This window comes from Homo sapiens, chromosome 9 (assembly GCF_000001405.40).
Source record: "Homo sapiens chromosome 9, GRCh38.p14 Primary Assembly".
NCBI classification, from domain to species: Eukaryota; Metazoa; Chordata; class Mammalia; order Primates; family Hominidae; genus Homo; species Homo sapiens.
Window position 1 is genome coordinate 66,035,804 of NC_000009.12, and position 19,084 is coordinate 66,054,887.

At 45.4% G+C, this 19,084-nt stretch overlaps 1 long non-coding RNA gene and 2 pseudogenes across 1 annotated transcript; 1 reads left to right on the forward strand and 2 right to left on the reverse strand.

The window, feature by feature from the left end:
- On the forward strand, positions 6,818–7,526 carry LOC100132599 (zinc finger protein 114 pseudogene; annotated as a pseudogene).
- LOC105379252 (family with sequence similarity 95 member B1-like) lies at positions 11,282–16,931 on the reverse strand. The gene is made up of 5 exons (NR_136310.1): positions 16,417–16,931; positions 15,700–15,951; positions 15,410–15,613; positions 14,774–15,042; positions 11,282–11,584 (listed from the first exon to the last, which is right to left on the reverse strand). It is a non-coding gene; the product is annotated as a family with sequence similarity 95 member B1-like (long non-coding RNA).
- CYP4F59P (cytochrome P450 family 4 subfamily F member 59, pseudogene) lies at positions 14,774–15,056 on the reverse strand (annotated as a pseudogene).
- Positions 16,932–19,084: the final 2,153 nt, after the last annotated feature.

Here is a 19,084-nt window from a genome sequence, read left to right on the forward strand (position 1 = left end):
CAGGCTCAGTCCAGCAACTGGTTTCATAAATCCAACTTTTCCAAGCATGATGGAATGTCAGAATCCCGTGAGCCAAAAGTTTTATGATGAGAGAGGAAGAATGATATTTACTCCCCAATCTAATTTTTAAATTAAATTTTAAACAAAGTTAATAAAGTTAACAAACCTGAATACACACACACACATGCATATATACCCACGCACATGCACACAGGCTTCTTGCATTCTTTTTTTTGTTTAATCATTCATGAGAAATGGTTGGATTTTGTATTTTCTATCTACCAATACTTGCACAAACTCTGGCTGCAAAACTTTTGTTGGTCAAATATTAGCATTTGGGAAACCACATCCCTGCTGAGAGATAGAAGATCTTGATACAACCTTAACTACATCATCAGTAGACATGGGACTGTTTTTAACCAGAAGGAGGCAAATGTCTTCCAGATGGTTGTGTAGCTGGTTTTAACAGTAGCCTGCAGTGGCTTTTTGACAGACATAAACCTTACTAGTTATTATTAGGCTTCAGAGCATTAGTATGAAGTTTTAATTTGGCTTATGTTAGGGATGAGAAGGTAGCACTATCCTAGATGCCCTAAATATTGCTCCTTGTCACTTTTTCCCCACTGAATTCAGAGGTAATCTGGGGACTGTGTCTAAAATGGCCTTATATTCATGTGTTTGCCATGGGTTTCTGAAGCTTTCATTCTGAACATGGTCTCAAGTTGGCTCTTGAGGGCTAATTTCATTACACATGATCATAGGCATAAATTTAAATTTGTGGAGGATTGTTTTGTACATCCCACATGAAGGGGTGACCTGCCCCTCCACACCTGTGGGTGTTTCTCATTGGGTGGGATGAGAGACTGAGAAAAGAAAGAGACACAGAGACAAAGTATAGAGAAAGAAACATGGGCCCAGGGTACCGGCACTCAGCATATGGAGGATCCACGCTGGCACCAGTCTCTGAGTTCCCTCAGTATTTATTGATCATTATCTCTACCATCTCAGAGAGGGGGATGTGGCAGGGCAATAGGGTAATAGTGGGGAGAGGGTCAGCAGGAAAACATGTGAACAAATGTCTGTGTGCCATAAACAAGGTTAGAAAAGGTGCTGTGCTTTGAGGTGCACATACATAAACATCTCGGTGCATTAAAGGGCAGTATTGCAGCCAGCATGTCTCACCTCCAGCCTTAAGGCAGTTTTCTCCTTATCTCAGTTGATGGAACATACAATCCGGTTTTACACCGAGACATTCCATTGCCCAGGGACGAGCAGGAGACAGATGCCTTCCTCTTATCTCAACTGCAAAGAGGCCTTCCTCTTTTACTAATCCTCCTCAGCACAGACCCTTTATGGGTGTCTGGCTGGGGGATGGTCAGGTCTTTCCCTTCCCACAAGGCCATATCTCAGACTATCACTTGGGGAGAAACCTTGGACAATACCTGGCTTTCCTAGGCAGAGGTCCCTGCAGCCTTCCGTAGTGTGTAGTGTATTGTGTCCCTGGGTACTTGAGATTAGAGAGTGGTGATGACTTTTAACAAGCAAACTGCCTTCAAGCACTTGTTTAACAAAGCACATCCTGCATAGCCCTAAATCCATTAAACCTTGAGTCAACACAGTGCATGTCTCTGCCAGCACAGGGTTGGGGGTAGGGTTACAGATTAACAGCATCTCAAGGCAGAAGAATTTTTCTTAGTACAGAACAAAATGGAGTCTCTTATGTCTACTTCTTTCTACATAGACACAGTAACAGTCTGATCTCTCTTTCTTTTCCCCACACCACAGAATCTGGATTCACTACCAAGAGACTGTAGCATTTATCAAAAAGAAGATAAAGAGAAATAAGAGTTCTTGTTGTCTAGGGAATATATCATCTTCTTTAGGTAATGCTTATTAATGCTCCTCAAAATAGCTAGAGCATTCAAGCTTTGTACCGAGTTCACAATGAGAGAAGTAGCTTCTACTAGAAATTAAATATGTTACTTCTTTCATTGAGTAACTATTGCTACAAGAATACGTTTGCTGAATAAATTAGCACATTTATTGATATAATTGATTTGCATACTGTGGCAGCACTTCATGGACCAAACCCTAAGTCCCATGAAAAATTGAATAGAATTATTTGACAGTTAAGTATCATTGGAAAAGCCTGGCTCTAGTTCTCAGGAAGCAATCTGGTTGATTATGTGTTTTCGGTGTGTAGTCATAATACAACTGTATATCACTAGTGTACATTAGACACTTTGTGCACTCTACATATATTTTCTCATTTGATCCTTCAATACATGCATAACAGAAGAAATAGACGTGGATTTAATTGCTCCACTAGGGTCAAAGACCAAAAACCTCATTACAATGCCAATGTTAGAAATTCTTCTTCCAATTAAAATAAAGTTACCAAAGACAATTGCTCCTGCCATAATGAGAAAATATCGGATGAACTTTAAAAAATTATTTTTTTTTTGTTTAAAGCCATCAAAAAATTGTGGGTCTAAAGTGTCAATGAACTAAATTTCAGAGAAAAACAAGCCCTTCCTTGGTGATCACAGATTAGCAGCAGAGCCCATCTCTGAGGACATTTGCTGGATCTGGGGCCTTGAGTAGGTAGAAGAACAAGCCTACAATGTGCAGACAGCTGGAACATTGGGAATAAGCAAAATAATCTACAGGGAACTGCAAGAGGGACTGAAAACTAGAAAGATCACGTGTTCTCCTCGCACTTACTTATTTCCACTTAAGAGACAGGGTCTCATTCTGTCACCCAGGCTATGGTGCAGTGGAATAATCATTGCTCACTGCAGCCTCAAACTCCTCCCTCAGGTGATCCTCCTGCTTCAGCCTCTCCAGTACATGGAACTACAGGTGCATGACATCATGCTTGGCTAATTTTTAATTTTTTTGTGTGTGGACACAAAAACCGACTAGGTTTCCCAGGCTGGTCTAGAACTCTTGGCCTCAAGTGTTCTTCCTGCCTTGACCCCCACCCTCTCCAACCAAGCACTGGGATTACAGGTGTAATGACAGGGAGTCATCACATCTGGCCTCCCCTAGCATTTAGATATTAAACTGTTGGAAAAATGAGTAAAAAATAAATGTAAGTAGCATTTTGAGTATTTTCTTCCCATACACCCATGGATTGTTTAGTGTATCTTACTACTTCACATAGGAGACCATTCCTGCATCAAACTATATAAACTAAGTATTTAAATTTGATTTTTTCCCTACAATAAGCTCTATGCTAAAGCTCATTACATTTGATTTTGACAATCTGTTTTTATACCACAGTTGCAAAAAATTAATCACATTCTTTACTTCATGAGACATTATCATTATTGTTTCCTACAAGTTTCTCTGGTTTTACTTGTTTCATTTTTTTATTCCTTATCCCTTGTCACAGACAGGCATGCTAATGTGTTTGATATAGGTTCTTTACTCTTAAAGAATTCTTACAAGATAAGAAGGTTGTTTTCTGAGTGTGTGTATGTGTATATACGTGAGTGTATACATTTTGCTTAAAGAGTATTGTGCTATAAATCTAATTTTATTTCTAATTTTTTCACAGAGCATAACATCCTTCATACATTCCCACATTGCTGTAGGTTATTTTTGGTTGTTTATTCCCCTGTAGCTGCTGCATAGTTTTCAATAAAATGAATCAACCACATTTTCCCTATCCAGTCTTGCAGTAGAATTCACACTGATATCCTGCTACTGAAATATTCACTTCCTTATGGTATCCTTATGAAAACACTTTTTGGTCATGTGTTACAATTTGTCAGGGGCTATGTTAGTCTCTTTATATTGCTATGAAGACATACCCAATGCTGGGTAATTTATTTATTTATTTTTTAATAAAAGAGGTTTATCTTGGTTCGGGGTTCTGCAGACTGCACAGGAAGCAATGCTATCTGCTCTGGGTGAGGCCTCAAGAAGCTTACAATCATGGCAGAAGGTGAAGGGGAGCCAGTGTGTCACATGGTCAGAGAGGGAGTAAGAGAGAGAAGGGGGCAGTCCCAGGCTGTTTCTAACAATCAGATCTCTATGAACTCACTGAGAAGAACTCACTCAAGTGGATTGTGCTAAACCAAGCTTGTCTAACCCACAGCTTGTGGGCTGAATGCAGGTCAGGACAGCTTTGAATGTGGCCCAAATTTGTCAACTTTGTTAAAAGAGAGTTTGTGTATGTGTGTGTGTGTGTGTGTGTTTGTGTGTGTGTGTGGTTTTTTTTATTTTTATTTATTTATGTATTTATTTTAGCTCATCAGCTATTTTTAGTGTATTTTATGTGTGGCTCAAGAAAATTCTTCTTCCAATGCTGTCCAGGGAAGCCAAAAGGTTGGACATTCCTGTGCTAAGCTATTCATAAGGCATCCACCCCATGATCCAATACCTCTCACTGGGCCCCACCTCCAACATTGGGGATCATATTTTAGCATGAGATTTGGAGGGGACACACATCCAAATTATATCAGGGATATGTACCCATCATCGAGACAGGTTGTAGAGTATGCATACTTTCAAATGGGTCCTGTCATGTTATTTTCTGAAATGGTTAAAACCATTTAATTTTCCATCCATTGCCCATAAAGCTTGTTTTCCTCATATCCTCATCACTCAATGTTATCTAGGATTCTTATATTTTCTAAGCAAGTGGTGAAAATACAGATCTCATTTTATTTGTGTACATTTGCATTTGTCAGATTGTTAACAATGTATTGAATTTTTTGGCCCATTTTTCTATTGAGTTTACTATCTTCTTTGTTCATCTGAATATCAATCATATTCACTTTGCCCTAAGCAGTGTCAACATTTTCTATTACTCTGTCATACATCTGATAACTTTGTATGCCAACCTTTACTGAAATGAGCCTTTATGATTTTTATACTTCTAGAGTTTATGTATTTAATTAAATTTATTGGTTTAGTATATATTTTATTAAACTGTAACAACAGTCCCAAATCTATGTTTTGCTGGGTTCATTCAGATTTAGAACTCAGATAACTTTTTGGAGGATAAATTCTTTTTATCATAATGAAGAATGGCTATCATAATGCAATATGATTACTTCTGCCAATGCTTATTGTTTTATAGTCTACTTTGTTTCTGTGGTCAGGAGGACAAGACCTGAATGGCCTTGACCAACTCAGCTTTCTGTACCTCCTAGTTCTCAGAATAACTTTAGAATGTTCCAAGAAGACAATATCCTGAGATGAGTAGAAACCGTCTGGGACAGTCTGGGCTCTGTCCTTGTTGTTCCTAGGACAGGATATTACTGCAGCCCTTAAACTCAGAGAGCCAAGGTGCACGTGGGGTGTGAAACCTAGGGCGGAGCACTCAGGGGTTCCTCAGCGCAGTACACAGTGGGGCATGTGCAGAGGAGACTCCACCAACCCTGGGCAACTTTTCTGACCTCAAGGGTCAGGCTTGCCATAGAACTTAACGGTTTTGCTGATTCTTCCTGCTCCTCTGTGAGTAATAAATTTGGTTTGTCTGACTTACTGTGCGAGCATTCTTCTGTTCCTGGCAGCTTGGTTTATATAAAAAACCTCCTACTAGACCTATGAATCTATGCAATGTGGAAGTGTCATAGAGGTAAATAAGAAGCAACTTAACTGAGTTGAAAACTAACATACATAACATGGGGCCACTGCACCAAGGGGCAAAATGATCCTGCCAAAAAGTCCCATGTGACCATTCCAGACATACTGTGGAAGAAGGATGCTGAAACTCACAGAGATCTGAAGATCTTATCCAAGCCAACAGGAGGCTAATAAAGCAAGAGAATTCCACTGTACTCTGATGCGAGAGTACAAGCTTCACCTCAGAGAATAGCAATGCAATGGCCCCAGCGATCAGACCAGAGAGACCCTCTGCCACAGAGAAAGCAGAGGTCTAGAGAACAGCATGAAGACAATAAGAGACTTCAGATTCACTTTCCCTTTGCCTTGAGGCCACAGAAAGCCCAAAGCATCTGAACATCTTCCTGGAGGCATTTAACTAAAAGAGAGCTATTGAAACTTGAAGAAAAATGTGAATCAAGAAGCTAAATTTAAAGATATGTTACTTTCTCCAACCATCCCCCACCAATTAACCATAGGATGAGTCTAGTGAGATAAAGCATATCATTTATACAAAATACAAAAGTTATATGTCCTTTATGTGGGCAGAAATATGTTCAAGCTTTACTCAATAAAGGTATCTTGTTTTACTACTAGAAATGGTAATTTTCACTTGGTCATTACTTTATTTTATAATTATCTCTATTTAAATTAGTATCAGCTCACTCCTGGGTATCCACCTAGAGGAAAAGAAGTCATATGAAAAAGACACATGTATGCACATTCATAGCAGCACAACTCACAGTTGCAAAAATGTGTAACAAGGTTAAATGTCTATCAGCCAATGAGTGGACAAAGAAAATGTGTTATAGATACACCATGGAATACTACTCAGCCCTAAAAATGAATCAAATAATGACACTTGCAGCAACCTGGATGGAGTTAGAGATGATTATTGTAAGTGAAGTAACTCAGGAATAAAAAACAAATATTGTATGTTCTCACTTATAAGTGGGAGCTAAGCTATGAGAGAGTGAAGGCATAAGAATGATTTAATAGACTTTGGGGACTCAGAGGGAAGGTTAGGGGGGTGAGGGATAAAAGACTACACATTGGGTACAATGTACACTACTTGAGTAATGCGTACACCAAAATCTCAGAAATCACCACTAAATAACTTTTCCATGTAACCAAAAACCACCTGTTTCCCAAAAACTATTGCAATAAAGTAATATATATGAAAACAATCAACATGATAGTCTTGAAGTGCAACATTCACTGGGTTTCATATGGGAGAAAAACAGCTAAAATCAAACACATGGACAGGCAGTCAGAACAATGTCCATCATATACATAGTAAAATTAATACAAGGACAAACATTCATGAGTGGAGTCCATTTGAATCAGCCTGTAGTGAAGACATGTGCCTTAGGGCACACATAACTCATGTTAGGGAGAAAATGTATAATTTTACTCAATGTGAAAACATCTTCAGAAATAACTCAGTCCATGCTGTCCAGATGCAGTTCTGTTCTGTAGAGATGAAGAATAAGAATCATCAAAGTGGAAAAACCTCTGTCCTGCTCCAAATTCTGGTCCACACAGGAGTAGTACTACTGGAGAGAAAAGCCATACATGTCCCAAATGAAGGAAAGCCTTTACGTTATCAGTCATTTCTTATGAGACATATGAAACTTCACACTGGAGAGAAACCTTATGAATGTAACAAAAGTGAGAAAGGCTTTAGATATTCCCTACACCTTAATAAATATTTAAGAAAGAACATTCTGGAGAAGCCCTATGGATGTAAGGAATGTGGGAAAGCCTTCAGCAAGGCTCAAAACATGCACATATAAGGAGTCACACTGGAAGAAACCCTATAAATGTGATAAATGTGAAAAAGACTTTGCAAAGTCACCAGAATTAAAAGCCATCTTAAGATTCACAATAGTGAGAAGCCCTGTGAGTGGCAGGGAAATCATCATTAATTTTTCACCGTACTGAACATGTGAGGAGGACATACTGGAAGGGAGCTCAATGAGTTAACATGCATGAGAACATCTTTCCTGAACTCTCCTATCTTACAGAAGTGTGAAAAGAAACCCTCTGAAGGTAAAGTCTATGGAAAGCCTTTCATCTTCATTCATCGTGAGTAGATATTTGTTCTCACACTGGAGAGAAGCTATGAAAGTAAGGAATATGAAAAAAGCCTCAGTGTTGTCTCAGACTCATAGTTCATACAAGAACTCACACAGCAGAGACTGCTTATGGAAGTAAAAAATGCAGAAAATACCTCTTTAAACACTATCCCTCCTTTATACATGATTCCACACCCTGGAGGGAGACTACAATTGAATAAATATAAGAAAGCTTTCAGTTCCAGCTCTTCACTTATTGGGCATGAATGAGCACAGGGTAGGACTGAAGCACAGTAAACGTTAACAATTATTGACTTTATCATTGTCTTATCCCTCAATTAGAACTCAAATTCATAATTTTGTAGTTTTTCCTTTCTTAAAAAATGGTACAAGATGACAGATATCTGTCTTAGCAACCTTTCCGCTCTGCCACCTTAATGTTGCTATGTAGTAGCTTTGTTACAATTCATTTACATACACATGGTTTCATTTTCAGTGGGAAGCCCTTCTGAGCTCCATTCAATTTAGATTTAGAATTCGTATGCTCCATGATACCTTTTTTGTCAGTTTGTTTTTTGTTGGTCACAATTTGACTGCATTATGGTCACATTATGTGGTTTTAATGGTACTGATTTGGGGTACCTGTTATGACTTTCATTTTGGTCTAATGTGGCCAATGCTGTCCATTTCCCTGCTATATCCATTATTCTCATCTTCTTCACTAAGGGAACATAGATTCACTTTTTCCAAGGAGCACTGTTTAAATGTCTTTATTTATTTATTTATTTATGCATATTTTATTATTTTATAACTTTTTTTTTTGAAAAATGGTCTCACTCTGTCTCCCAGGCTGGAGTACAGTGGCATGATCAGAGCTCACTGCAGTCTTGAACTCCTGGGCTCATGTGATCTCCCAGCTCAGACTCCTGAGTAGGTAGGACTGCAGGCATAACAGGTGTGCACTGCCACACCCAGCTTTTGTTTTGTTTTGTTTTTGTAGAGACTGGGTCTCGTTATGTTGCCTGGACTGGTTTCAAATTCCTGTGCTCAAGTGATTCTCCCACCTTGGCCTCCCAAATTGCTGGAATTACAGGCATGAGCCACCATGCCTGGCCCTGGTTAACGTCTTTAAATGAGTTTCCCAGTTTTTCTCGTAACTGTAGTGAGCGAATCTTATAGTCCTGGCCAATGTGAAATGCAGAATTCACTGCTTTGGATTTCTGAAAATCTGTTTGGAAAGGGGAGAGTTATTGTTCCTCTTTTTTGTTGACCAATTTCCCTTTGCTTTCTCTGCTTGCTGCTCTCTGGAAATAGGATGAAATGCCCTGAGTTGGGTTTAGCAACTTGAAGACCATTGGAAAGATTGTCCCTACAACAAAACCTTCAATCTACAAGATTTCTCCCTCCCCAATGGCATGTTGTGTATCCCTGGCTGCCGTGGACTATTTCTGGACTTGTTTCATGAAACTAACCCCTAGTAGAACTAAGAAACATTTTAGGAGAGAAGTTTACAACAGATTAAATGATAAACCTAAAAAATGAATAAAACATATTATAAAAATAAAGAGGATAGACAAAACGGGCTTGCAGATGCTGACTGGCCACACTCATCCTTGGCGCTTGCCCCCATGGATGCCTCACTGACTGACACTTGGAGAGCTGGCAGCCATCACTCAAAAATCAGAACACAGTGGCCTCTACTGCAGCATCAGGGAACCAAAACTAAGCTTGTCAGCTCTCAAGAAACATACTTATGTGTGTGTGTGTGTGTATATATATATATATATATGACATAAATTTATTCAGGGACTTTGAGGTATCTCATGCTAAACAGATAAAATGAATTAAAACTAGTGCAAAGTTATGGCAACAGTACTCCCCATTATTTATGCAGGGCGTTGAAAACTGGCACACGTCACAGATCCTTAAGTCATTCTCTGAATCAGGAGGAGAAAAGAGAACAGAGAGAGCTCACTGTATGTGCCAGTCACTGGACTGAGTACTGCGCCTACGGGATCCCACTTGATGCTTGCAATAACCCTGCAAGATAAAGGTAAAAACTCACACACACACACACACACACAAACTCACACACACACTCTCACGCATACATACACACACATAAACTCACACATACACACGCATCCTCAAGCACACACTAGAAACTACAGAACAAAAAAGCATTGACAACTAATAGAAGTATACTGCTGGCCAAAGTGGCTCATGCCTATAATCTCGGCACTTTAGGCCAGGAATTCAAGACAAGCCTGGGCAACATAGCAAGACACCATCTACACAAAACATTTTCTTAAATAAACATCATTTTTAAAAAGAGGTATAATGCCTACAGGCTCAGGGAAGCAATACCCCTATGGCTGTATGGTAAGCAGCAGGCAAGGCTATTTTTCAGACCAAAGTGGTAGTGACTCCAGGGTTCCTTTGCACACTTAGCCAGGAGATTGGCTAGCTCAGCACTGCCTGGGTTCACTTTACCCTTCTACAGTTCTAAAGCTCTGGCAGGTGGGACCTAAGCATCACAGAAAGTGCTATTATGCAGGACTCTCTTGACTGCAAGTGACTGAAACCTAACTGGATCCAGCAGAACATTGAATTATTTGGCTTTACTTACTAAAAATGTACATGAGTAGATGGGCTTCTGTCTCAGTGGGATCAGGGGTCAACTAATATCAACCAAGGCTCATTCTGTCCCTTCATTTCCTGTGTCAGCTCTGCTTTTCAGGCAAGCTGTTTTGAGAGAGCAGCAAAAATGGCCCCATAAAGTTCACATCACTTACTTCCTTACAAATAGATATGCCAATAAAAAGAAAGCACCTCATTCCCAGCAGTTTCATCAGAAGTTCAGGGATGACTTCCATGAGCCCAGCTTGGATCACATGACCACTCCTGAATCAATTACCCTGCTGATCTGATTGCCCAGGGTGGGTCAGCCTTCCCAAATCACATGGACTAGTATTGAAAGACAGGTCCTCCCATGAAAAGAAAAAAAAAAAAAAAAAGGAAGGGTAGTGGCAGAGGAATATGAGTGGGGGGGGCCTCATCTCTATATAAAAAGTATGAGCGTATTTGTGCTCTTTTGTACATTCATTTGTATAGTCACTGGGAAAAAAATGAGAAAAACCCAAACACGGCTTTCTATATGCCTCTGTGCTTTGTTTTCAACACTGAGCTGTGAGAAATCTAGTTACTAAAATGAAACTGTGAAAAAATATAACAATTTGGGACAATGGGGACACTTAGCTGATGCAGCACAGGTGAACAGTTCTTCTTTTGTGCCCAAGAGGACACAATTCCCAGGAGGCTGCATGTGGTCTCCTAGGACAAGCCTGTGGGCACCCACTGGCTGCAGTTCCACCTTTCCTTCCCTGGACTCTCAGGAAGACATGAGTTCTGGATTCAGCTGAACTGAGCTCAAGTTCAAGTTCTGTGACTCACTGGCTCTGTAATTCTGGGTAAGTCTCTTGCTCTCCTTGAGTCTCATATCCTCCTTGGTAAAATGGAGAGGTAGAGCTATTGTTAGATTTTGAAGGCAAGGCAAGGGTTAAAGAAAGACAGAGAAAGACAGTTGACGGCTTCAACAGCAACACCTTTATTACTAGCAAAACCCTGCAGAGGAGGAAACCAGCTTACTGCCAGCACCAACTGCCTCTCACAGGCTGGGGTGATCATGGGACTGGGAAGGAGGGGTGTGGGCGGTAGAGCTTGCTGCCCGGCAGGATATGGCAAGGATGTTCCTGCAGTCAGGCTGTTGGGCCTTTGCCCGGGAGGGTGCGATAAGGATGTTTCTACAGTCAGGTGATCAGGAAGGATGCTTCTCACGGCCCGAGTTCCCAAGGAATGTTTCATTCTGACCAGGGTGTGCAAAACGGCTGCAGGTTTACAAAATGGTACAGGTTAGACTAACAGCAACATCTCCCAGGTAGACAGTTCTATAAAGTAAACTTCCCTTGAGCACCTACACTGTACCAGACATGGTGCTAGGACCCAGGCCACAGGAGGAACAGGACAGATGAGGCCCCTGCCATCCTGGTGCTCATGCCTGATGAAGGAAGCTAACAGGTCGTAAGACCAGGTCACGTGGTGGTGGTAATGAAAGACATTACCAGCCACTTCGAGGTCCCTGCCAGAACCTGACTGCCACATTCCCCAAAGGGACCAGACTCCTCGGCACACTAGCTGAGGTTTCTATAGGCACAGAGAAAACACTGTCCCAACTGTTGCAATGGAGCTGGGAAAAATAATGTTTTTTCTCAATGCTTAGACTTACCAATTGCTTCATTTTATCACATGAAGGCTGTGTGGCACTTTGAAGTAGAATTAGTAATTTACATAATTACAAATCATGTTTTTTTCTTTTTTTTTAGATGGAGTCTTGCTCTCTCGCCCAGGCTGGAGTGCAGTCGCGCCATCTCGGCTCACTGCAAGTTCCACCTCCCGGGTTCATGCCAGTCTCCTGCCTCAGCCTCCCAAGTAGCTGGGACTATAGGCGCCAATCATCATGCCCAGCTAATTTTTTGTGTTTTTATTAGAGACGGGGTTTCACCAAGTTAGCCAGGATGGTCTGGATCTCCTGACCTCGTGATCTGCCCGCCTCGGCCTCCCAAAGTGCTGGGATTACAGGCATAAGCCACTGCGCCTGGCTACAAATTATGTTCTTAAAAGAAGCTGCTCAGTGCCATGCCTAACACAAGATGGAACTCCACGATGAGATATGTGTGAAGACAGGGTGCCATGGTTACAAACAAGGACTCCAGGTGCAGACTGTTTGGTTCAAACCTGGACCAGCGGTATGAATTTTTGCAACTCTCTGTATTGCTCTTTGCCTCAGTTTTTTCATATAACAACTAGAAGTAAAAACAAGGTTATTGTGAAAATTAAATGAATTAAAGTAAGTGGAGTGCCTACAACACCCCCAGGCACACGGTCAGCACTGAGCATGTTTTTCATTACTACTCTTAATGAGGTAAGAATGAGAAAACAGGCGCCAGCCATGAGCCTGGGGTTTATCTGGCAAAGGCATCAGAGACCCCACTTTTAACATCCTCCATTCATTCATTTGACCCTGATAAGGAAGGAGTCTCATGGGAGAGGAGCAAGCCTCCACCTGGGGGCCAGACATCTCATGATCAAAGTTGAACTCTACCACTGTTCAGCTGGGTGACTTTGGGCAAGTGACTTTCCCTCTCTGATCCTCATGTTCCTTTTTGATAAAAACAGCAAAATGTCAGGCCTATGGGGATTCAAGGAGCCAAAAGAAAAATGTGTGTCTTAGTCTGAATTTCCTGGAAGTAGATCCTGAGGCAAAGATTCAAATACAAAAATTTTGTTTGGAGATAACGCTAGGATATTAATTCGACTGCCAGTTCTTCCTTAGGGTGCTAATCCCAGGAAACATCAGTGGAGGAGTGGGGAACTGAGACAGGAAAGGAATGCAGCAGTTAAAGGGACCTTCATCAAGAAAGTTTCCACTGTGGCAGCCAGGACTCAGCCCTGCCAGGTACCTCTGAGAGACAGCACAGAACATGTGCTTCAGAGTCATCATACCCAGAGCAAGGGACCAGGGGTATTTATCCACCAATACCCACCAGTCACTCCTCAGGGATCCTCCCAAGGGCATGATTCCTCCAGAATGTCCTGCCTGCGCTGCAAGGGTCAGACCTGGGGTTGAGGGCAGGACCCCTGACAGCGCTTCCAGCAATGGGCAGAACCACAGCCTGATGTGTACAGTTTCAGTCACCCAGTAACTCCAACACACACACACACACACACATTCACACACCACACTCCAACACCAACAAAGTATATACGTACATACACATACATGCATACATGACTGTTACCCACTTAGATCCTAGTGACTCCATGGGATAGACGATAAGGTGGGAATCAGAGGAAAGAGTAAAATTAAGGCGAGTGAAAGTCTTAAGAACAAAATGCAAATTTAGGCTGAAAATGAAGGGGGAGGAGGTGTGGTCTCGACACCAAATGCCTGCTGGGTGGCACATGCTCTACACACACTGTCACTAATTCTCCAAGCAGCCTCGTGGAGTAAAAGAAATTCCTCTCAATGTACAGATGACAGAAACATAGTTCAGAAAAGAAAACTGATTTTACTAATGTCTCAGCAAGTTAGTGGGTGACATGGAGTCCCAGATCTTTCTGTCCACAAAGCCTACAAATTCTCCCTTGTTAGGCAGGCTGGGTACCAGGCCCTGCTTCTGGGCTCTGCTTCTTTTCCTTCTAGGCTAAAACAGCAGAACTGACAGAGACATCATCCCCCTTCTCCACCTGGAGCAGAGCCAATGAGAGGGGCTGGGGAACAGCCATGAGGCCCAGCACCCACCATTCAATGTCTTCAGAATTGCCGTCCCTCAGAACTCTTGCACCACGAGGTGGCAGCACTCCCAGTGTCTGGGTGTCTTCTGAGGGGTACCAGGATCCAGTAGAGGCCACTGGCTGTGCTGTCATATCCTAAGTGGCAGCAAGGCAGGCTTGGGTCTCTTGGCTGCTTCAGCACCAGAGGTTGGACAGTGCCCATGCATTGAGTCCCTCAGGAGAATGGGAGGGAAAGGAAGGGCAGAATGGAGTGATGTAGGGTCCATCCACCATGTCCCTGGATGGAGAGACCCCTGCTCCCACAGTAGTCCACACCAGGACCACGATTGGCACTCATGAAGATGCCAGCCTCCATGTATATGTCCTTGTCTGACAACTCCTCCTTATTTTCATCCTGGAGACAAGAACCCTGAACACAGTAGCTCTGAGGGCACCTGAGTGTAACCTGAGACAGTCCCTGAAGACCTTTCATCCAAGCAGGATCCCTCCCTTGCCATCTGCAGACCTGCCCCACAAACTCCCTCCCTGGTCTCCTGGCTCTTGTTCACTCCTTCCAGGCAGCCTTCCACAGTCATCTCTAAAATATATATGACTGTCCCTTCCTTTATCCAGCACCTTCCATGGCTCCCCAGAGCCCTCCAGGTCAAGTTCAAGTTCTTTGATCAGACACTAGATCTCAAGCTGCATTCTACCTCCTGAATTAAGATCCCGGAGAAGCCCACCTTGCTCAGCACAAACGCATCACTGAAGTCGAAAATCTTGAACGTGGCCTTGGCATTGAGGAAGTCATCAACACCCTGGCTAGTGAGGGTGCAGTGCCGCTCCAGGATGATGGTGTCTAAAGTTGTGCACCAGGTCGCAGGCCCTGCAGAAGCATCTCCCCTCAGGAGTGAGGTAGTACAGGAAGTCTGTGCACAGGCAGATCTGCTGGTGCTGTTACACTATGAGGGCACTGAGCTCCAAGATGGTGGCAATATATTCACTGGGATTCCTGCACGGTGAGGTTGGAGAGAGGAAGCATCTCCATAACACATATGAAACCCTGGAAGCACTTCCCAGCCAGAAATTCAGGACCACGTTATATGCAGATATGGGTGCCCTCTGAGCACACTTGTCTCTGTCTCCCACTCTGAGCTGCCTCCTGGCCCCACATGCCCCAGCCTGGCCCAGGGCTTAGCCCAGTGGGTGTTCAGTCCATGGTGTTGACTGCTCCCTGGGCCAGGAGAGCCCTTGGTGGCTCTGTGACTCCTCCTGTGGAACCCCTACCTCTGCCTTGGGACCTCCCAATTCCCATGGAAGCCCCCACAGCTCTGGATTGCCCCACCTGCCCTGTGATCCTCCAGCCCCATAGGCCTTACTCGATGCCTTAGCCCTCCCAGAACATGACACGTTTCTCTGAATGTGGCTGATGTCCAGGGCCATCTGTAGATGTTTGCTGGGGACCTCTTGCTGTTTTCCTTTATGGTCTGTAGGCCAGGGCCAAGAGGAGAAACCAGCCTAATCTCAGAATGGACAAAAGGCTCACTGCCCTAACAGCAACCACCAAACAGTCAGCAGTGCTTCTGGATGGAAAAGAGGTTTCATTCTGCAGAAAGCTCCTTGTTTGGCTTCTTTCTGAAGCCAGGAAGGGGTACCAAACCCAGCTTACCTGCGGTGCCTACGTTAGCATCTGTGCCTAGGATGCATGATGGGCTCCCACTGCAGGGTTGACATTCCCTCCAGCTGGAGACCTGGGCTCCTGACACCACCTGGCGTGTTTGTCCTGCTCTGGATGACGGTGGAAAGGCTGTATCTGGTATTTTCCTAGGTCCTTGGTTTTCACCTTCTAGACATCCAGCAGGAGTGACCATACCCAGCCCCACACCTGAAATGGGACTCCCTTGTAGAGCACCTGAGACCTCTACAGACAGAAGAGTGCTCTGGTGAGACAGGCCACAGAGGTCCCCGGGGGGGGGGGGGATCAGGGGCTGGAGGATTCTGGAGGTTTCCAGCCTTGGGCTCTGTGGTTCCTCAAAGAGTTTAGGTTTACCTAGGACTAGGCCTCCCCTCCCATGATTCAAAGAGTGGGTGAGTGCTATGCATCACGAACTCTGATCTGGACCTATTTTTTCATTTAGGTCACCAAGAGACAACCCCTAACCCCCAAGCTAGGGATGGTCCAAGCTCTGGCATGAGATTCTCTTCCAGCAATGTGATGCTTGCAGGGACAGGGAGAAAAGCCGGTGACCAGGCCTGCTGTCCCCCAGGTAAGGACAGTGTGCTACCCACCCTCTGAGAGGCAGGTGGTGCCAGGTCACTGCACTGGGTCCCTGTACCCCTGGCTCTGCAGACACCAGTCATGGAGGTCCTCCCCTCTCCACATTACCTTCTTGCTACTCCCAGATTTCTTCTGGTCATTAAGCACTTTGAGCCATTTTTCTGTGCAGCCGATCTGATATTTTTGCTATCAGATGAAACATGACAAAGTAAGCCGAGCCACCAGGATTCCTGGAGGGAACCTTGGATGCTGCGTCTTGGGATCCAGAGCCCTGATGGGACTGAACCAGAAGGAGCCAGGGAAGGACAAACACTGGGGCTCAGGCCCTATGACCCAACGGCCATTGGTGGCCTGTCCTCATGGCCCCAAGACACCCTGTCCTCAGGCCACAGACACCATGGGCTTTGGTCAGGTCCCAGCCTCCCAGTAGTGCCCTGGCACTGGTGGGTGCTGACCCCCAAACCACAATAGCAGTTCTGGGTTATGGGTTTGGTAAAACCACCTCAGGGAGAATTCTGGGGTTGGGTTTGGCAGGAACCACGGGGCCTCCCAGGAATGATGTGTCACTCCTACTTGCCACAAAATGTGCACAGAGGCTATCCCACTGACCAGCCCATCCTGCTGGACAGGATGGAGGAAATCAGGGAAAAGGCAGGGTGGACATCTGGGGTGCAGGGAGAGGCAGGTGCATGCTGGGAGGTCAGACCCTGCGAGGGCTGTGGGGGCATCAGGTGGGGTGGGCTCCAGGTGCACCCTCAATGCACTGGGTGGGTCTCAGGCCAGGCTCCCTGGACCCTGGTTGGCTGATGTGGTCACTCCCTGGGGGACTGCTGTCAAGCCCTGGCCACCCACCCTGGGCAGCACCGTCCCATCCCAAGACCGGATTTTCTGAGTCCTGAGACAGGACAGTGCTGTCCAGGCCTGACAGACTGGGAGGACCTGCCAAGTCCTCCATCCCTAGACCAGCCTCCCACACAGCAGGGACAGTCTCTTCCATTTACCTTCAGGGCACTGACTGATCCATGTCACTCTAAGGCAACCAAGGCAGAGCTGAGGACCTGTGCCAGGCTGGGAGCCAGTCCCCTCCCTAAATGGGCCTGAGGAAAGCACCATCCCTGTCCCAATGCGCCCCAAGTTTTAGCCCAGGAGACACATAGGGAAGGGAGGACGGAGCCTCTCTGCTGGCTGACACTTGAAAAGCGGGACCTGGGAGTAGAGGGAGCGCAGGGCTGGCAGGGATGCTCCAGGCCCATGGAGAGCTTGGGCTGCACCAAGGGGCTGCCCCTCCTGGGCTGGAGGCTGTGCCCTCTGCAGGATCTGAGAAAGTCCAGTCCTGAGATGGGACAGTGCTGCCAAGGGTGGGTGGCTAGGCCTGACAGCAGTCCCCCAGGGAGTGACCACATCACCCGACCAGGGTCCAGAGAGCCTGGACCGAGACCTGCCCAGTGCACACTGAGAGTGCACCTGGAGCCCACCCCACCTGACGCCCCCACAGCCCTCACAGGGTCCGACCTCCCAGCATGCACCTGCCTCTCCCTGCACCCCTACTGCCCACCCTGCCTGTTCCCTGGCTTCCTCCATCCTGTGCAGCCCATAGACTGTTACCATCTCTCTAGCCACTCTGGCCCTTCCTTTACCTTTGTTCTTTCAGAATCTCTGAGCAAGATCTCCCAGGTCCATCCAAACACCTGCTTTGTCCACTTTTGACTGGGCCATTGGACACCACTGGGCCATCCCAGCTGTCCATAGGGCCCCTGATAACATGCATTTCCCCTGACACCTCCCAGCAGTGCTCAGCAGCCCCACTGACCAGGTCCCTGCTGACCAGATCCCGCACATCAGGTCCTCCCTGACCACACTCTCACTGATTAGGCCCCCATCACCAGGCCCCACTAACTAGATTCCCGCTGCCAGGCCCACAGTGTCCAGGACCCCACTGACAAGGACCTCACTGACAAGGCCTCACTGACCAGGGCCTCACTGACAAGACCTCCCTGACCACATTCCACCAATCATGACCCCATTGCCTGGCCCCACAGATGAAGCCCCACTGACCAGGTCTCCAGGGAACAGGCTGCCAGTGACCAGGTCCCTACTAACCAGGCCTGAGGTGACCAGATGCCCCGACCAGGAACCTAGTGACTAGGCACCACTGAACAGGCATGTACCGCTCAGACCCCCGTTGACCAGGTCACCCCATAGACCAGTGCTACAAAAGCCACCACTGATCAAGTCCTCTCTGACCAGGCCCCCACTGATTAGGTTCCACTGACCTGACCAGGCTGCCATGACCAGGGTCCCACTGACAAGGGTCTCACTGATGAGGACATGCCCTGCTGACTAGGTGCCATGTGACCAGGCCTCCACTGAATAGCACCCCTTGACCGGGTCACCAGTGACCCAGCCCATTCTGACAAGGCTACCACTAAGCCACAGCTGACCAGGTCTCCACTCACCAAGCCCTGCAGCCCAGGTTTGCACTGACCAGACACCAAACATTTGTCTGCCACTAGGTCCCCACTCACCAAGACCTGCACTACTCGATCCCTCTAATGAGACCCTCTCTAAGCAGACCCTGGCTGACCATTCCCCCAGTAAATAGGCCTCACTGACCAAGTCCCAACTGACTAGTTCACTGACCAGGCCCACACTGACCAGGCCCTTCCTAATCATACCAGAAGGCCAAGTGGCAATGAGATGTTTCATATGGCAGGGGTAGGAGCAAGACAGAGAGAGGAAAGAGGTACCACACCCTGTTAGACAACCAGATCACATG